The following is a 16,978-nucleotide window of genomic DNA, read 5'->3' as shown; positions in this document are numbered from 1 at the left end:
TAATCAAGGACTGACTTTCCACTTGCTTGCACTCTCTCTCTTGCCCTCATTTGTTCCCTCCAATGAAGCAAGAGGCCATGTTGTGAACTGCCTTAAGGAGAGGTCTCTGTGACAAGGAACTGAGGCTGACCTCCAAACAAGAGTCAGCAAGGAACCAAGGCCCTCAGTTCAACCACCCAAAGAACTAGATCTTTGCAAAAGCCATATGAATGAGCTGAGAAGTGGAACCATCCTCAGTAATGCCAAAAGATGACTGCAGCATCAGTTGGTATCTTGTTTGTGGCCTTGTGAGAGACCGAGCTAGAGGCATCCAGCCAAGCTACGTAATGGATTCACAGGAACTGCGATATAATACATCCTCATTGCTTTGAGCCACTAGGTTTTGGGGTGATTTGTTATGCAGGAATAGAAAACTAATACATGTATCTATTGAGATGATCACACGATTCTTCATTTCAAGATGAATTATATTGATTTCTTTTTTTTTTTTTTTTTGAGATGAAGTCTCACTCTTGTCCCCCAGGCTGGAGTGCAATGGCGCGATCTCAGCTCACTGCTACCTCCGCCTCCCAGGTTCATGCGATTCTCCTGCCTTGGCCTCCTGAGTAGCTGGGATTACAGGTGCCTGCAACCACGCCCAGCTAATTTTTGTATTTTTAGTAGAGATGGGGTTTCACCATATTGGCCAGCCTGGTCTCGAACTCCAGATGTCAGGTGATCTGCCCGCCTCGGCCTCCCAAAGTGCTGGGATTACAGGCGTGAGCCACCGTGCCTGGCCCTGATTTCTTTAAAAAAGTGAACCAACCTTGCACTCCTGTTTATTTGTTTTCTTTTCAATATATTTATGGTTTTTTATTTGCTAACTTTCAAAAAAGATTTGTGTCTATGTTCATGAGGCTGTTGGTCTGTAAGTTTATTTTATTTTAATATCTTTGTGAGGTTTGGTATCAGATTTATGCTAGCCTTGCAAAATGAGTTGGAAGGTATTCCCTCTGGAAAAAGAATTATGTGGCATCGGCAATATTTCTTCTCAAATATTCGACTGAATTCATCCATGAAACCATATTGGCCTGCAGTTTTCTTTGTGGGAAGATGCTTAAGTACAAATTCATCTTCTTTCATAGATACAAGGCTTTTCAGAGTTTCTAATTATCCTTGTGTTAGTTTTGTAATGTGTCTCTTTTAAGAAATTTACCAATTTTATCTACATTGTCAAAGTTGTTGACATATGACAAAAGTTACTGGTCACAATATGCCCTTATTATCCTTTTAATGTCTATTCAATCTGTAGTGATATTATTCTCTTCACTCCTGATAAAGCAAATTTAAATTTTCTCTATTTGCTTATTAGCTTTGCTAGGTGGTTATCAATTTCATTAATCTTTTCAAAGAAATATCTTTTTAGTGCTGTCAATTTTCTGTTGTTTTCTATTTCATTAATTTCTAATCTTATATTTATTATTTACTTCCTTATACTTTGCATTTAATTTGGTCTTGTTTCTAGCTTATGGTGGAATTTTAGATCATTGATTTTAAATCTTTTTTTATATAAGCATTAAGTCTATAAATTATCCTCTGAGCACTCAGTTACACCCAACTTAATTTTAGAACATGTCTTTTTTCATTCAATTTGAAATATTCAATTTGAATATCCTTCTTAGATTCATAAGTTATTGATATGTGGATTATTTATTTTACAAATACTTGGCAATTTTCTAGGTATCTTATTGTGAATTTCTCACTGAATTTTACTATGGTTAAACACTTCAGTCTTTTGAAATTATGGTCTCTCTTGCCAAATGTTTCAAATGCACATGGTAGCATTGGGATATTATGTAAATATCAATTAGGTCAAGTTGGTTGATTGTATTATTTATATCTTCTGTATTCTTACTCATTGCTTATCCAGTAATTCTATAAATTCCTAAGACTGCTAAAAATCTCTAACTATAATCGTAGATTTGTTTTTAGTTCTGTCAGTTTTTACTTTATGTATTTTGAAGTTTTATTTTTAGCAGCATATACACTTAGAATTCTTACTTCTGAATTGACGCTTTTATCTTAACATAATATGTTGATATTCATATATCCATACCAACTTCCCCTTGCTTACTGTTCAAATGGCACGTATTTCTCATCCTTTTACTCTTAGCTAATCTGTATCCTACTATTTACTCTCATGTAGACAACATATGAGTTTTGCTTTTACAAACAGGCTGATCATTTCTGCCATTCCATTGGAGTTCTAAGCCCATATACAACTAAGGAAATTGTCAATATGGGTTGGGTTTATGTTACCACTTTGATGTTTGTTTACTCTTTGTGCCATTTGCTTTTGTTTCTCTGCTCTTCTCTTCCTGCTTTCTTTTGGGTTATATTTTATGTTCTTTTATTCTATTGGCTCTTTAGCTATAAGTGTGTATGTGTGTGTGTGTGCGCGCACGCATGTGAGAAAGAGAGAACTTTAGAGATTGAAATACTTACTCTGAAGTCTGCAGAGACTTTTGTAAGTTCTCTCCTCTCCAGCATCCTACCCTGAAATTTCCAGGTCTTGCAGCAGACCCTAACACTGATCTCATCCTCCCCAGCTCAGCAGGATTGCTATACTCTATGTGGGCTCCACTTCCTTGTGCCCTGTTTAGCAAATTGCCCTAGGTAGAAAAACAGTATGAAAGTGCGGTTCCTCTTCTGCGCTTTTCCTTTCTCAAGGGTCACAGCTCTGTGCTGCTTCTTGTCTAATGACTGAAAAGAGTTGCCTATTTCTTTTTCAGTTTATCATTATTTATGACAGGAGGACATGTCTAATACTCTGTACCTTATAATCCAAGCTGGTAGTGTTTCTTCTAATACAACCCTTTAAAAAATGTGGCTTTCCTATGAATTTGATTGGGAATCATTAAATGCCCCCCGCCAAAGATACATCCGTAATTCTTTTTGAGAAAGGCCTTTCTCTATTTGTGACCTTGCATGGAGCTGCTTTAGAATATGACCCTGTGGTTCCTAGAAGTCCTTTGTGAAGAGAAGAGGATCTTCCTGGAACTACATTAAATAGTTCCAAACTAAATGATCTTATACCCACACCCTTAATTTGATCTTTACCCTGATACTGTTTCCTACTTTAAGAATCTTTTCTGGGAGAAAATATTTGCTGGGAAGAAAAAATAGTTTTAGGGCCAAGTGCGGTGGCTCGTGCCTGTAATCCCAGCACTTTGGAAGGTTGGTTACTTAGTATGCCCTGAACCTAATGCATGTCCTGAACCTAGTGCATGTCTTTTAATTTTTCCTTGCAAGCTAAACAGTTCCTTCATGAGTTCATGTATCTCTTCGTGTATCAGTACAGCTAAAAAATGACAGCTGATATTTCTAACTTTATGCCAAGAAATTTCCTTATTCACATCCACACATTAAACACATAGTCTAGCTTCCAAATTGCTACAGATAACAATCTTGCTCATCTTTTCACCATTGCATAACTTGGGTCTTTCTCCAGTGTCCACAAGAACTTTCTTGTGATCATTTCGTCTTCACTCCCTTTTTCTTCACACACCCTTCCCACCTCCATCTGCCACCTGATCCCAAACGCAGTGGCATATGTTTTAGGATTTTGCTATACATCATCCTACTTCCAGGTAGCAATTTCTCTTTCCTTTAGCCACTGCTGTGTAACAAAGCACTGAAGAACTCTATGGCTTAAAACAACTTTGTCTTATTTGTCAGAATTCTGAAGTTTGAGCATCTCCTTTGCTGGTTTAGGCTGGGATAATACATGAAGCTTGATTCAGCTTGATTCAGTGATTCTTTGCATTTATCCTACTTGGGGTTTATTACTGGTTGACTGGGCTGGAGGCACAATATGTCCTCACTCACATGTATGGAAGCTGGCACAAGCTATTACTTAGGGCACATGATTCTCTTCCACATAGCTTATCTCCAGCAGGCTTGACCAACCTTCTTCCATGGCAGCCTCAGTTCAGTGTTGAAGACAACAAAGGTAGGAGCTTCAATCCTTCTTGAGGCTGAGGCTCTGAAACTTACAAAGTGTCACTTCTGCCACATGCTCTTAGTCCAAGCAAGTCAAGAGACCAGCCATTATTCAAGAGAGCAAGAAATAGGCCTCATCTCTGGATGTGAGGAGTGGCAAAGTCATATTGCAAAGAGATGGGCATATTAGGATAAGAAAAAGTTGTAGCCTTTAAGCAGTTCCTTCTATGTTAAGAATTTTAAAAATTAAACAACATTACAAATGACACAATGTAAAAGTAGATATGTTTTGTTATACCTTAAACATATTGTAAAGGTGAGCAGAAAATAGCTATTTTAAATGGCATACATAGTATGTGAACAAAGCTACTTTAAACAGGATACATCATATAGCCTAGGTAAATAAATGAATTAATAAATGAATAGCTGAATAGACACTTAACAACAGCATGGTTATCTCTTAAGGACTGATACCTCTAGAGATAAATATTTTACCATATATAAGCTTTTGACCAATTTAATACGTTACATGACTAAAGCTGAAAAAATTATGAACCAGTGGAAGAGTGAGATCATATTAGTCAATGAGAGTCATTTCAATCAACTTCCAGACCGCCTTTCTTCTTAACAGCTTTGAAATATAAATTATAGACTATGTCATTCACTCATTTAAAATACACAATTTAAATGTGTACAACTTAAAGTATATAGTTCAGTGGTTTTTGTTAATATTCAAGTAGTTGTATAAGGATTATGTCCTTTCTCTTTATAAAAATTACCCGCTTTACCCCTGGTAATACTCCTTGTCTTTAAGTCTATTTTATCTGATATTCATAGAGCCAAATCAACTTTCTTATTTTTAGTCTTTACGTGGTCTGTAGTTTTTTCAACAGTTTATTTTCAATTTGTCTGTGTCTTTCTATTTAAAGGGCCTCTCATGTAAACAAGATACAGTTGGGCTTTACTTCTTTAAGCAGGCTGACAATATTTTCCTTTTACTTGGAGAGTTTTATTTAATGTAATTATCAATATTGTTAGGCTTTAGTCTACAATTGTTTTAATTTGTTTTACTTGTCCCTTTTGTTCATTTTCTTATCCTTTTCTGTCTTCTTTTGGATTAATTAGGTATGTTTTAATATTCCCTTCTCTCTCTTCTACTGGCTTTTTAGCTACCCCTTTTTATCTGGGTTGTTTGTTGTTCTTGTTGTTTTGACAGAGTCTCGCTCTGTTCCCAGGCTGGAGTGCTGTGGTGCGATCACGGTTCACTGCTGCCTTGAACTCCTGGGCTCAAGTGATCCTCTCACCTCAGTCTTTGGAGTAGCTGGAACTACAGGCGTGTGCCACCATGTCTGGCTATAATATGCATCCTTAACATGCCACAATTTACTTTGAACTAATGATATTCCACTTCCTTTATAATAAAATACAGAAATTTTACAACATAATAACTTAAATTGTACACTCTCATCCTTTTTGATAATGTTGTATTTTTCTCTTTTCATACTTTACAAGCCCATAACATATTAATATTTCCCTTAAATAGTAAACTGTATTTTAAAGAATTTTTATTTATTTATTTATTACTCTGTGGTGCGATCTCAGCTCACTGTAACCTCCGCCTCCGGGGTTCAAGAGATTCTCTTCCCTCAGCTTCCTGAATACCTGGGATTACAGGCACCTATCACCATGCCTGGCTAATATTTGTATTTTTACTAGAGACAGGGTTTCACCACACTGGTCAGGCTCATCTCAAACTCCTGACCTCATGATCTGCCCGCCTTGGCCTCCCAAAGCACTGGGATTATAGGCGTGACCCACTGTGCCTGGCCTAAAGGAAAAAAATTTGTCTTTCATATTCAGCCATATATTTACCGTTCCCGGTATTCTTCATATCTTCGTATCTTTGTCTACATACAAGTTTCCATCTGGTATAATTTTGCAGCAGCCTGAAAAGCATCCCTTAGCATTTCTTTCAGTCTAGGTCTGCATCTTGGATCATTCCACTGTTTTCCATGAGAAGTCAGCCGTCATTGTCCCCTATACGTAATGTGCCTTTTTTCCTCTGGCTGTTCTGTGATTTTTCTCTTTGGTTTTCAGTTGTTTGACCACGATGTGCCTACTGGTGGTTTTCTTTGCATTTATCCTACTTGGGGTTTATTGAACTGTCTAGAATTATGAATTGCCATTTTTTATTCAACTTTGGAAAAATTTTAGCTGACAATCTTCAATAACCTTTTCTGCCTTATTTTGTCTTTTATCTTCTTCTTATACTTCAAATACACATATATTTGATATTGTGTCATGGTTGCTGAGTTCCTGTTATTTTTTATTTTATTCTTTTTTTCTCTCTGTACTTTAGTTTGAATAATTTAAATTCATCTTTCTTTAAATTCATCATCTCTTTCTTCTGTTTTGTCCAATCTGCTATTAATCTCTTCCAGTAAAATTTTCATTTCAGATTCATTTCTCAATCTTAGGATTTTCATTTGGCCCCTTTTTCACTGTTTCTAAATCTCTCCATAAATTCCCCCATCTCTTCATCCATTTAATCCATCTTTTTCTGTGAATTGTTTAACATATGTCTTTAATATAAATTATTTTTCCTTTAAATTTTTTTAAATACAATTTACTACTTAAAGGAGAAATCATCAACAATATATGAGGATTATAAAGTCTGGAGGAATAAAGTATCTTACAACATATCAAAAAAGAGTATTAATATATTTAATAGCTATTTTAAGGACCGTGTCTGATAATTCCAACATCTGCGTTGTCGGGTTTGTTACTATTCATTGATTTTCTCTTAATCTGTGTCACATTCCCCTGCTGTTGCCTGAATCATAGTATTTTATTGTGTGTTGGACATTGGGTCTAAAAGAACAGTAGAGACTAAAGAAAATGGGCATGTGCAACTTGGGTGACTGCTGATGAATTTGATCCAATCAGGAGTTGAACTGTTTGGGGGCAGCATTGCAGATTTAGTTCCTCCAGCAGGGAGGTGGAATTTAGTATGAGGGATCTAAAGAAATTAGTCTCTGCTTTTCAGCCCAGCCCCTAACTCATGTATTGTGCTGGTGCTGAAATCTTTGAACACATCAGATGTTAAATAGAATAGGTGTTTGGTTGTGGCTTTGGTTAGACTAAGTTTTTACACCTCTGTCTTCAAACACTTTGAAAGGAAGTTCAGCCCTCTTTCTCTGGGAAAGTCCAAAGACCAAACCCTATAAGATGGCTAGGCCTCAGAACCAAGAGATGGTGAGAGTGGACGATCATGAGACTTTAAAACCACCAGTCTTCATGACCTCAAATTTTCAAGAGTTCAACAGAGCAAGCCCATGAGATAAGATTTGGAGGTAAAGAGTGTTTGGAACCATGAGACTTAGAGATCACAAGATTTCAAAAACTGTGAGATGGCTAGATTTGAGAACTCTTTCTGCTTTTCACCTTCTCTTCCAGCCTCTGTTTACTTAGCAACATTAGTGAGTTATTTGGAAGAGAGAATTATTTCTGCACTGGGGGCTCCTCCAGGATCAAATCTGATGATACCAGCCTCCAAGTTTGTCAATAGTTTAGAGAGTTTCTCCCCACCCAAGTAAAAACTGTCCTTCCCTGAAGCCTCACTCCCCTGTCATTTTACCCCCAAACTCAGCAACTCAATCTAGGTATGCAACCTCCTCTATTCCTTGCTGCTCACCTTCGAAGAGCTCATTCCTCTAGAATTTGGTTCTTTTAGATTTGTGTCCAAAGCTCTGTAATGACACTAAATAAAAAGTATGCTTTTTGTTTTCTCTGGTGATTTCTTCTTCTTTTGGCAGGAGCAAAGTCTTTCACATGCTCCTACTTGCTAACCAGCAGCAGAACTCTGGATGTTCTTTTAAATATTGTTATTCATGGCTGCATAGTTTACACCTTTGTAGAGAGATTTTTTTTTTTCAAGTTGGGAAAGTCTTGCCAAGCCAAATTTTGTGAAAAAGATAAAACGTCAGGCTAGCTAATGTCGTGCTTGAACTATACATATATAAAATTCCTTTCTGGAACACCCTTAGCAATGTTTGTTTTTCTTCTTTCAAGGAATTTCAATTGCTTAGAAATAGCAACGGAGAACTAGCTCTTGAGGCAGCTCCAAAAAGAAGTAATTCCTAAAAAGTATTGAGCAAAGCAGCATCGTTGAAGTGAACACTTGGCTTCACAAAGAAAGGACACCAAAGAACAAAGCCAATGGCAATTTGTGAGTGCTGCTATATTTGCTTTTTAAAAAGCCTCAGGTCTCTATAGTAACTCCTTATGATAGTGCAATCAAATTTTACAAAAAGAAGACAACTCTGGAGGAGGCAATAAGAATTGATAGGTATGAGATGATCCTGCAGGTAATGAATTGAAAGGTGAAGACATTTCCTTATTCTCAAGAATGCTTATACACTGTTGACAGGAATGTGAATTAGTTTAGCCACTGTGGAAAACAGTTTGGAGATTTCTCAAAGAACTTAAAACAGAACTACCATTTGACCCAGGAATCCCGTGACTGGGTGTATACCCAAAGAAAATCCTTCTACCAAAAAGACACAAGGACTCATATGTTCATTGTAGCACTATTCACAATTGCAAAGATATGGAATTAACCCAGGTGCCCAATAATGGTGGACTGCATAAAGAAAATGTGGTACATATATACCACGGAATACTATGCAGCCATAAAAAAAGAACAAAATCATGTCCTTGGCAGCAACATAGATGCAGCTGGAAGCCATTATCCTAGGCGAATTAACACAGGAACAGAAAACCATATACTGTATGTTCTCGCTTGTAAGTGGGAGCTAAACACGGGGTCCACATGAAGACAAAGATGGGAACAACAGACACTGGGAATTACTAGATGGAGGAGAGGGGAGAGGGTTGAAAAACTACCTATTGGGTACTATGCTCACTACTTGGGCAATGGGATCATTCATACCCCAAACCTTGGTGTCATGCAATGTACCCATGTAACAAACCTGCACATGTACCCCCTGAACTTAAAAACTGAAAAAGAAAACATTTCCTTATTCTAACATAGAGGTGGGCAATGTCCTTTCTCAGCCACCAATCTGAGCAGTGTGCGGTGGGCTGTCCCACTACCATGGCTACCAAAGGGCAGGAACAAGCCAGTTAATGGGATGGATATGGGTGTGAAGGCAGAGCTGAGTGGGTAAGGGGAGTGCAGGCCAAGATCAGATAGAGTCAATCACCATGAGATGCCAAGTACACACCGGAGCAACTAGGAGAAACAGATTCTAAGACCCAACCCAAAATCTGAACTGCTAGAAAGAGGCAAGGAAACAAGACTTCAACATTCAGGCTGTTGCCTGGCTGACCCTTTGTTCCCATTGAGAGAGAACATCCTGACCCAGCATCCCACTCACCCTGGGAGCTAAACTATTAGCAGTTGATTTATTTCCAGTCTTAATGTAAAGTATATGGAAATGGAGCTGGAGTAGGAGTTGAGAAAGAATATTGTTTATTAAGCAATGACCCAACACCATGCATTGAAAGAGCAGTGACTATTTAAAAATTACCCCAAGGCTTGCCTATGTTGGTGTGTTTTCCCTTTGCATTCCTGGGGCCTTGCAAAAAAGAGTAGAAGAAATGTAAACAATTACAGGTGCTTTATGAATATTGAAGCAAAACAAAATCAGCTAGAGGTGGGGTGAGGGAGGAAGGACTTTAAATTTAAGACACTGTTATTTAGAAAGTTTTTGAAATAAAAAATTTAACTTCTTCCAGGTTCATAAGTCTGTCTATCAGAAGCAAAGGTATTTTGAGCTTCCAAAGTCTCACTGAGGGTCCTTCCTGGAGCCCTGGGTGGGTACCCTTTGTACTTTGAGCTTTCCCACCATTTCCCTTATTTCTTGTCTAGAGGAATTTGAAGTGGTAACATAAAACCCAGAGAAAGAAACCAGTTTTTAATATGCAAACCACCGAGACTAAATCTGGGCCTATGAGCCTCTGAGGCTTCATAAAAGGGAGGATAACGTCAGCTTAGGCCTTACCTCAAACCACAAGACATTTACTTTCTGATTTATGGTCTAGGCTGGACCAGTATAAGTTATCAAGAAGGATCATGTTCCATCGCTATTTTTTAAAATGTAAAATAAAAGTAAGAGGACTGAACTTGCTCAGTTCCTTCCTTTTTGGTTAATGGAATTGCTCATGGAGGTGGGGAGGCAGTTAGACGCCAAAGCAATCCTTTAGAACAACCTGGGTTTCCTTCTCAGATTTGCCATAAGTTGACCAAAGGATCACAGTCAGGTTTCTCTTACTCTCTGGGAGTCTCACCTTCAGCCTCAGTCACGAGGTGACTGTGCCCTGTACTCTGCACTTGGCGGAGTCCTTTCTGGCCCTTGTCCTGTGGAGGAGTCCCCAGAGCCAAGGTGACATGCCTACTCTCCATGGGAATTCCTTTCCCAAATGGCCCCTCATTCACTTCCAGGGCATGTACAGCCTCTGACCCATGACTGTCCTCCCAAGTGGTAACTGACTCACCAATGCCCTTATCCTTTCCCCAAGGGGTGGTCAAAGGGCAGTTATTTGCAGAGCATGTGAATGGAGCTTGGCCATGTGGCTATCATGTTAATGTGTCTGTATATGTGCAAACAGGGTGCCACAAAGACCAGAAATATCTGGGGGAAGGTAAGGAGATAAGAGAGCCAAGTTGGTGGCTGAGGGTTGGTTCTTCCAGGGCTGCCAAGAAATCCCAGAACTCTAAAATGCAACCTAGCCTTCCAAATCTGCTAGGGCAAATTTTGTTTAATATTTTTAAAGCTTGGGTTATAAATTGTAACTATTTAGACATATGTGGGCCACCACTTTTATCTTTGTTTTGGGCACCACAAATATGGAAATAGGGCATGTCTCCAGAACACTTCCCTTTTTCCTTGATCATAAACATCCTGACTGTCACAAACAATGGGGTTTTGAAGGTATTTAGAAACCTCCAGAACCTCAAACCATTTTTATTTCTCTCCTTTCAAGTTTCAAGTGGTTACAAAAGGCAGTTCAGAATTTGTTCCTGTTGATGACTAACTCATGGATTACAAAAAGCTACAGAATGTATAGCAAACTGTGAATTCTCTGTAGTGGTATGTTTTAAAAATTCAATATAATTTATTAATTTTTCACATTCATATTACATATTTTGCTTCTATGCCCATGCAGGCAGAAGATCATAAGTAATTGTTTTTCATTTATACAACAGAACTCCATTGGGTTTCCATAATGGGGCCTGTAATGCTATATGGTATAGATATACACAACTAACTAAAAAACAATGTCATAACAGCTGTTAAAAGAAGTGTGTCTTCAGTATCATGGAAGAAGAACGTTAAACTACTCAGTTAAAAGTAGCTACCAAGAGGTGGCTCACTGAATCTCAGGACTGGAGAATATGTTTAATCCCAGCACTAGCACAATAAATAAAACATTTATTTTTGTGATCACACCACCGTGAAGTTTTAGAACACTGGGAAAAACAGAAGATCTTAAAAGCTTCTAAAAAGAAAAATCAGGAGTATTCACGGGCCAGAATGGCCCTGGACATTTTAACACTAAGACTGGAGGAATGCCATCAAAATAATAAGGAAAAATTTTTTCCAACCTAAACTCTATAACTGATCAAACTATTAACTCAGGATAAAGATAAGCTGAATATGTTTTCAGATATGTAAGTTCTCAACATATACACGTTTACTGAAGGGTACTAGAAAAGTTGCTCCGTTTTTAAAACAAGAAGATCAGCTAATAAAGATGTAGACACTGGGCTTACGTAATGAGGAATTCAATATGAGAGAGGTGTTATATAATAAAAGAAACCCCTAGAATACAACAAAGAATAGCCCCAGGAAGGCAGCTAACAATAGGCTTGCAACCAACGGTCAGGAACTAACTAAATAGAGAAGAAGGTTTCTGCAGTAATGTTTCCAAGTAGATACAATTGCTAAAAATACTTAATGCATTGAGACATATTGAAAGAGAATTTGAGGCTGAATCAGAGATAAGACCATAGAAAACGCAGTACATCAACAAAACAAAACACTTAGTAAATCTAGGGAAAACAAATGCTTGTTCAAGAAAGGAAAAAATAATAGTATTCTATGTGGCTCAGCTGTGAACAGTATTTATGTACTCAATTTAAGCACTGATGATAGATCTAGCCAAAATATATATTTATTTTGGGAGAATGGAAACATGAATAACTGTGCATGCTTTTGCTACTAGTAGAGTGATGGGGATGAAATGGCTAAGATCTCATCTTCCTTAATGGGTAGGTCATATAATGCCTAAAACTAAGAAGTCAAGAAATGGCACTATGGGTAGCTATTTAGATATATGGAGCTAAATATCACAAAAAATAAAAATTCAGTTGTAAGTGGTTGCCTCTGGGGAAGAGGACATCAGTGACAAAAGGAAGCAGATGTATGGACTATGTGTTGTACAATAAGTCTGTAGAGGAGGAAATTATTATCCTAATTTTGTAGAGGAAGACATTCAGGCTTAGGGATGACAAGAATGTGGCTGAAGTGAAACTTGAGTCCAGCTCTCCTAACTCAAGGTCCTTTCCTTGTGTCATGGCTGATTTCTAAAACGGCTCTCTGAGCCTGAGAATATTTTATAAATTCAAGATTGCCTTACTCCTAGGATGTCGGTAGAAGTGCTGTTATTTGGTGGTAGGGTTGGGAAGGAAGTTAGTGATAATCTGGCTCAATCTCATTCTACATATAAAAAACATGGGTCTCAAGAAAGATTTTTCAGGTCACCAACATATTATTAAGTGCACAGAAGGGTACCAGTGGGAAATCACTGACTAAATTTCTTTTGAGTTGCTAATTGCCTTTGTAACATTCCAACAAGGTAGGGCTTATTTTTATTTCACAGATGATGGAACCAAGGTGCATAAAGACAAAATGCATAGCCGGGATTCTACAAACAGATGGGGGTTTTCCTTGAGCAATCACTTCTAGTGTACTCCCTTGAGATAGGATCCTCGTGGACTGTATCACGTCAAGGGAGCTAAAATTTTACTGTACAAGCCTCGTCCCTTTGTGTCACTTTGCCCCTCTGGAGCACAGATGCAGTAGAGTCTTTCCATGGTAATCAATCCAAGTCAATTTCTGGAATGAGCAAGCCAAGTAAAAGGAAATCCTCACCACATTTTATACTTTCTCTCATTATCAAAATGGCCTCGTGGACTGTTGCTTCCAAAGCATTTACAATGTGGTGACCTGACAGATTTCTACTGTCAGAAGTGATCATGTAAAACAGTCCAGCAACACCCCCATACATGGCAGGAACTGAGGAAGTTTTATTTTGCTGGCAGTACACACACCTTTCCAAACAAGTACGTTTCTTTTTCAGGTCAATTAAACCTGTGTTCAATAAAATCACATGGAAGACAAGAGGGCCGGGTACAGTTATTGATTACATCTTGCTTACACCTGAAGAGAGGTTCTCCTGGCTGACTTGATTAAAAATCATCTCAAAATCTACATTTCCACAACATCACATCATTTTCCATTATTCCCATCCACCTTCTCGCTTCTCTATCCACCCACCCCCGCCAACTCTGAGTGTGTGGAGTGAGGGCTCTGCTGAAGATGTTCTGGCTGTGTGCTCCTCAATTTGTACATTACTTAATTGAAAGACAGCCTGACCCTGAGATGGGCCAAGACACCACTAGGAAAAATGATGAATGCTTTCCTTGTCAAGATAAGTAAGAAATTAGAGCAAAGAGCTGCAACACTTCATTTATGAGCATCATCATGGAATGAGCTCTTCAGTATGATTGTATTTTCTGGGGCTCCAAACCTAGCTGTACTTCTTACCTTACATAAGTTACTTAACCTTTCAAAGCCTCCATTTCTCCACTATAAAATAGAGATGATAATGTTTGTCTCACCCATTGTTGTATTAAATGAGAGGATGAATTTTATGCTTCTATTTGTATTAATAGTTTTGGTTACATTCCAGGTATACTTTGAAGGTTAGTTCACTTCCCTTTGAGAGTATCAAAACTCTAAAAGAAGAAAGCATATCTCCTACTTCCCTGACTTGTCAGTAAATACATAGTCTTGACGCCTCAGTCACTGGCTGGCCTCATTTGTTAGAATGACTCTTTCTTACATCCAGTGGTAGGACACTGATCACTGATCTAGATAAACTTAATGAAACTGACTTACACATGGAAACTGGATAGAAATAAAATTACCTTACCCCAAGATTGTTGATGTTTTCCAGGGAATATATGAAAATTATACATATATACATATATATATATATTTTTTTTTAAGACAGAATCTTACTCTGTTGCCCAGGCTGTAGTGCAGTTTTGCAATCATGGCTTACTGCAGCCTCTATTTCCCCTGGTTCAGGTGATCCTCCCACCTCAGTCTCATGAGTAGCTGGGACTACAGATGTGTACCATCATGCCTGGCTAATTTTTGCTTTTGTAGAGACAGGGTTTCTCTATGCTGCCCAGGCTGGTCTCAAGCTCCTGGGCTCAAGCAATCCTCCCACCTCGGCCTCTCAAAGTGCTGGGAATACAGGCATGAGCCACTGTACTGAGCCAAGAATTTTCTTAAGTGTTATACTGGATTCAATTATATTGTGAGACAAATAATGTACATGTTGGGAGTAATGGTCTGTCTCTGTTGTCATGCAGTACAAAACCTCACACACCAAAAGAAACGGTGTATATTCAAATTCTGATTCTTCTTCTCATTAGCTGTGTAACCTTGAGAACGTCTCTTCTCTGCCCTGAGCCTTAGTTTCCTCATCTGTCCAATATACATAATATCTTCCTTAAAAGGCAAGCACCTGGTTCACACTAAGTCCACAAATGGTAGCAGTTATTTTTAATCAATAATCATAACCAGGTGGGATTCTTATTTTCCTCATCAAAATTAAAATCAAGTTATGCCATGTATTAAAACAATTCTGTCATTTCTGCTCCTCTCAAGAGCAGATGCTTCTTCAAATTGATTTATACTAGTGAAAATGAGATTAATTTCACTGATACATTCTTCCATCAGGTCCCATTATTTACTCGTATTGATCATCTATGATAATCAAGTTCACACTACTGGATAGGCCTCCAGGAAAAAGAGATGGAGCACTAACATTTATTATCTATTCCATGCAATGAATTGTGCTAATTGCTACAGCATACATCAATTACATTATTTGCTCCTGCTAAAAACTATATGAAGAAAAAACTAGGCTGCCCTTTTTTAAATGCCTACAGAAACTGAGGCATGCAGAGGTTTAATGCATTGTTGATAGTAAATGGCAGAGCTTGGATTCAAATCAAGGCATGTCAGATTTAAAATAGCCCACACCCACAACTTTAAAATAGCTCATCAGATATGGAAGCATTCCTGCAGGATTACAAAGGATGGGATGAAATTCACATTCCAAGATCATTTCTTCTTCAGAGCCCTGTGAGGAGCAAAGAATCTTTGTTTATATTCTAGTGTAAGCAATAGTTTCCCCAATTTTCTGCTTCCCTTTTACTGAGCATTTTCCAAATCCTTGAAAAAATGATTAAGGTTAAAAATTTTTCTTCTAGCAAACTGTGAAAAATGAGCTCATCAAGCTGCATACATGTTTCCTGATTATAATGAGATTGCCTATGACTCTCTTGTTTTCTGCAATATCTGAAAGTGTCCCCTTCAGTAAGTTGTCCATTTCTTTCTCTTGCTTTCTTTCTTCCATTTTTCTTTTTCTCTTCTCCTTCCTTTTTGAATGATACCCTGAGGTTAAAGGATATACACAGCCATGCAGAAAGAAAAAATCAGAAATAAAATGTTTATGAAAACATTTCTGTTGATCAGAAGGAACAAATGAGTACTGCTTACCCGAGATATCAAAACAAGGACTCTACTGAGCTAAAGCAAAGCCTTCAGGCTAGTGTGATACCTACTGAAAGCTTTATTCTGTTAAAAAAAAAAAGAAAAAAAGAAAAAGAAAAAAGAAAAGGCATGTCAGGTAAAGCTCAGATGTGTCCAGCAGGGCATGTCTTTGTTCAGAAGGCATAAGAGAGCACTTTTTTTTTTTTTTTTTTTTTGGAGACAGAGTCTCTCTCTGTCACTCAGGCTGGAGTGCAGTGGCACGATCTACACTCACTGCAACCTCCACCTCCTGGGTTCAAGTGATTCTCATGCCTCAGTCCACCAAGTAGCTGTGATTACAGGCACCCACCACCATGCCCAGCTAATTTTTGTACTTTTGGTTGAGATAGGGTTTCACCATGTTGGCCAGGCTGGTCTTGAACTCCTGACCTCAAGTGATCTGCCACCCCTCAGCCTCCCAAAGTGCTGGGATTATAGGCGTGAGCCACCGTGCCCATCCAAGAGAGCAATTTTCAACGAGAGCATGTACCACTGCCTTATACCATGCCAGAAGCTATAGTCTTCCTAGGAATGCTATAAGATATGGACTTTTTTCCCCCCCATTTTACAGATAAGAAAATTGAGACTCAAAAAGTGGTAAACTTAAGGGAAAAAAAGTTATAGTTAGTGGAAGAACTTGGATTTGAATCTCATCTTTGAGTGGCTCAAAAGTAATTTTCTTTTACTGTACACCTATCACACACCAGGTAATTTGCAGAATGACCTCTAATCCTCACAATAATCTCACAAGGTAGCTGTTATTCTCTCCATTTTTAAACATCAGGAACCTGAGATTTAGGCAGGCTGAGTAATGTTTTCAAAACTACACAGCCAGCAAGAAGTAGAGCCAAGGTTTTAACCTTGACCTATAGGCTCCAAAGCCATCATGTTCCTTGGCCCCACAGATAACGACCACACTGGCCTTAATTAATACAAATTGACAGTGGATGTGGAAACAAGGAGAGTCTACAGGAGAATACTGCAGTGTTCTTGGAATTCATGCCCACTGGGAAGAGAATGGGTGCAAGGTTAGTATGGGCTATGCAATTCAAGAAACAAATTTTTGGAAATATATTAAA

At 38.2% G+C, this 16,978-nt stretch overlaps 1 long non-coding RNA gene across 1 annotated transcript in view; it reads right to left on the bottom strand.

Moving 5' to 3' along the window:
• The window catches only part of LOC107986933 (uncharacterized), a 207,238-nt gene that overhangs the window by 81,634 nt on the left and 108,626 nt on the right, over positions 1-16,978 (bottom strand). The window lies entirely within an intron of this gene.

The sequence above is a fragment of the Homo sapiens genome, chromosome 8 (assembly GCF_000001405.40).
Source record: "Homo sapiens chromosome 8, GRCh38.p14 Primary Assembly".
Lineage (NCBI taxonomy): Eukaryota > Metazoa > Chordata > Mammalia > Primates > Hominidae > Homo > Homo sapiens.
The sequence above is the reverse complement of the archived record's forward strand: the minus strand, read 5'-3'. Positions and strand labels throughout refer to the sequence as shown.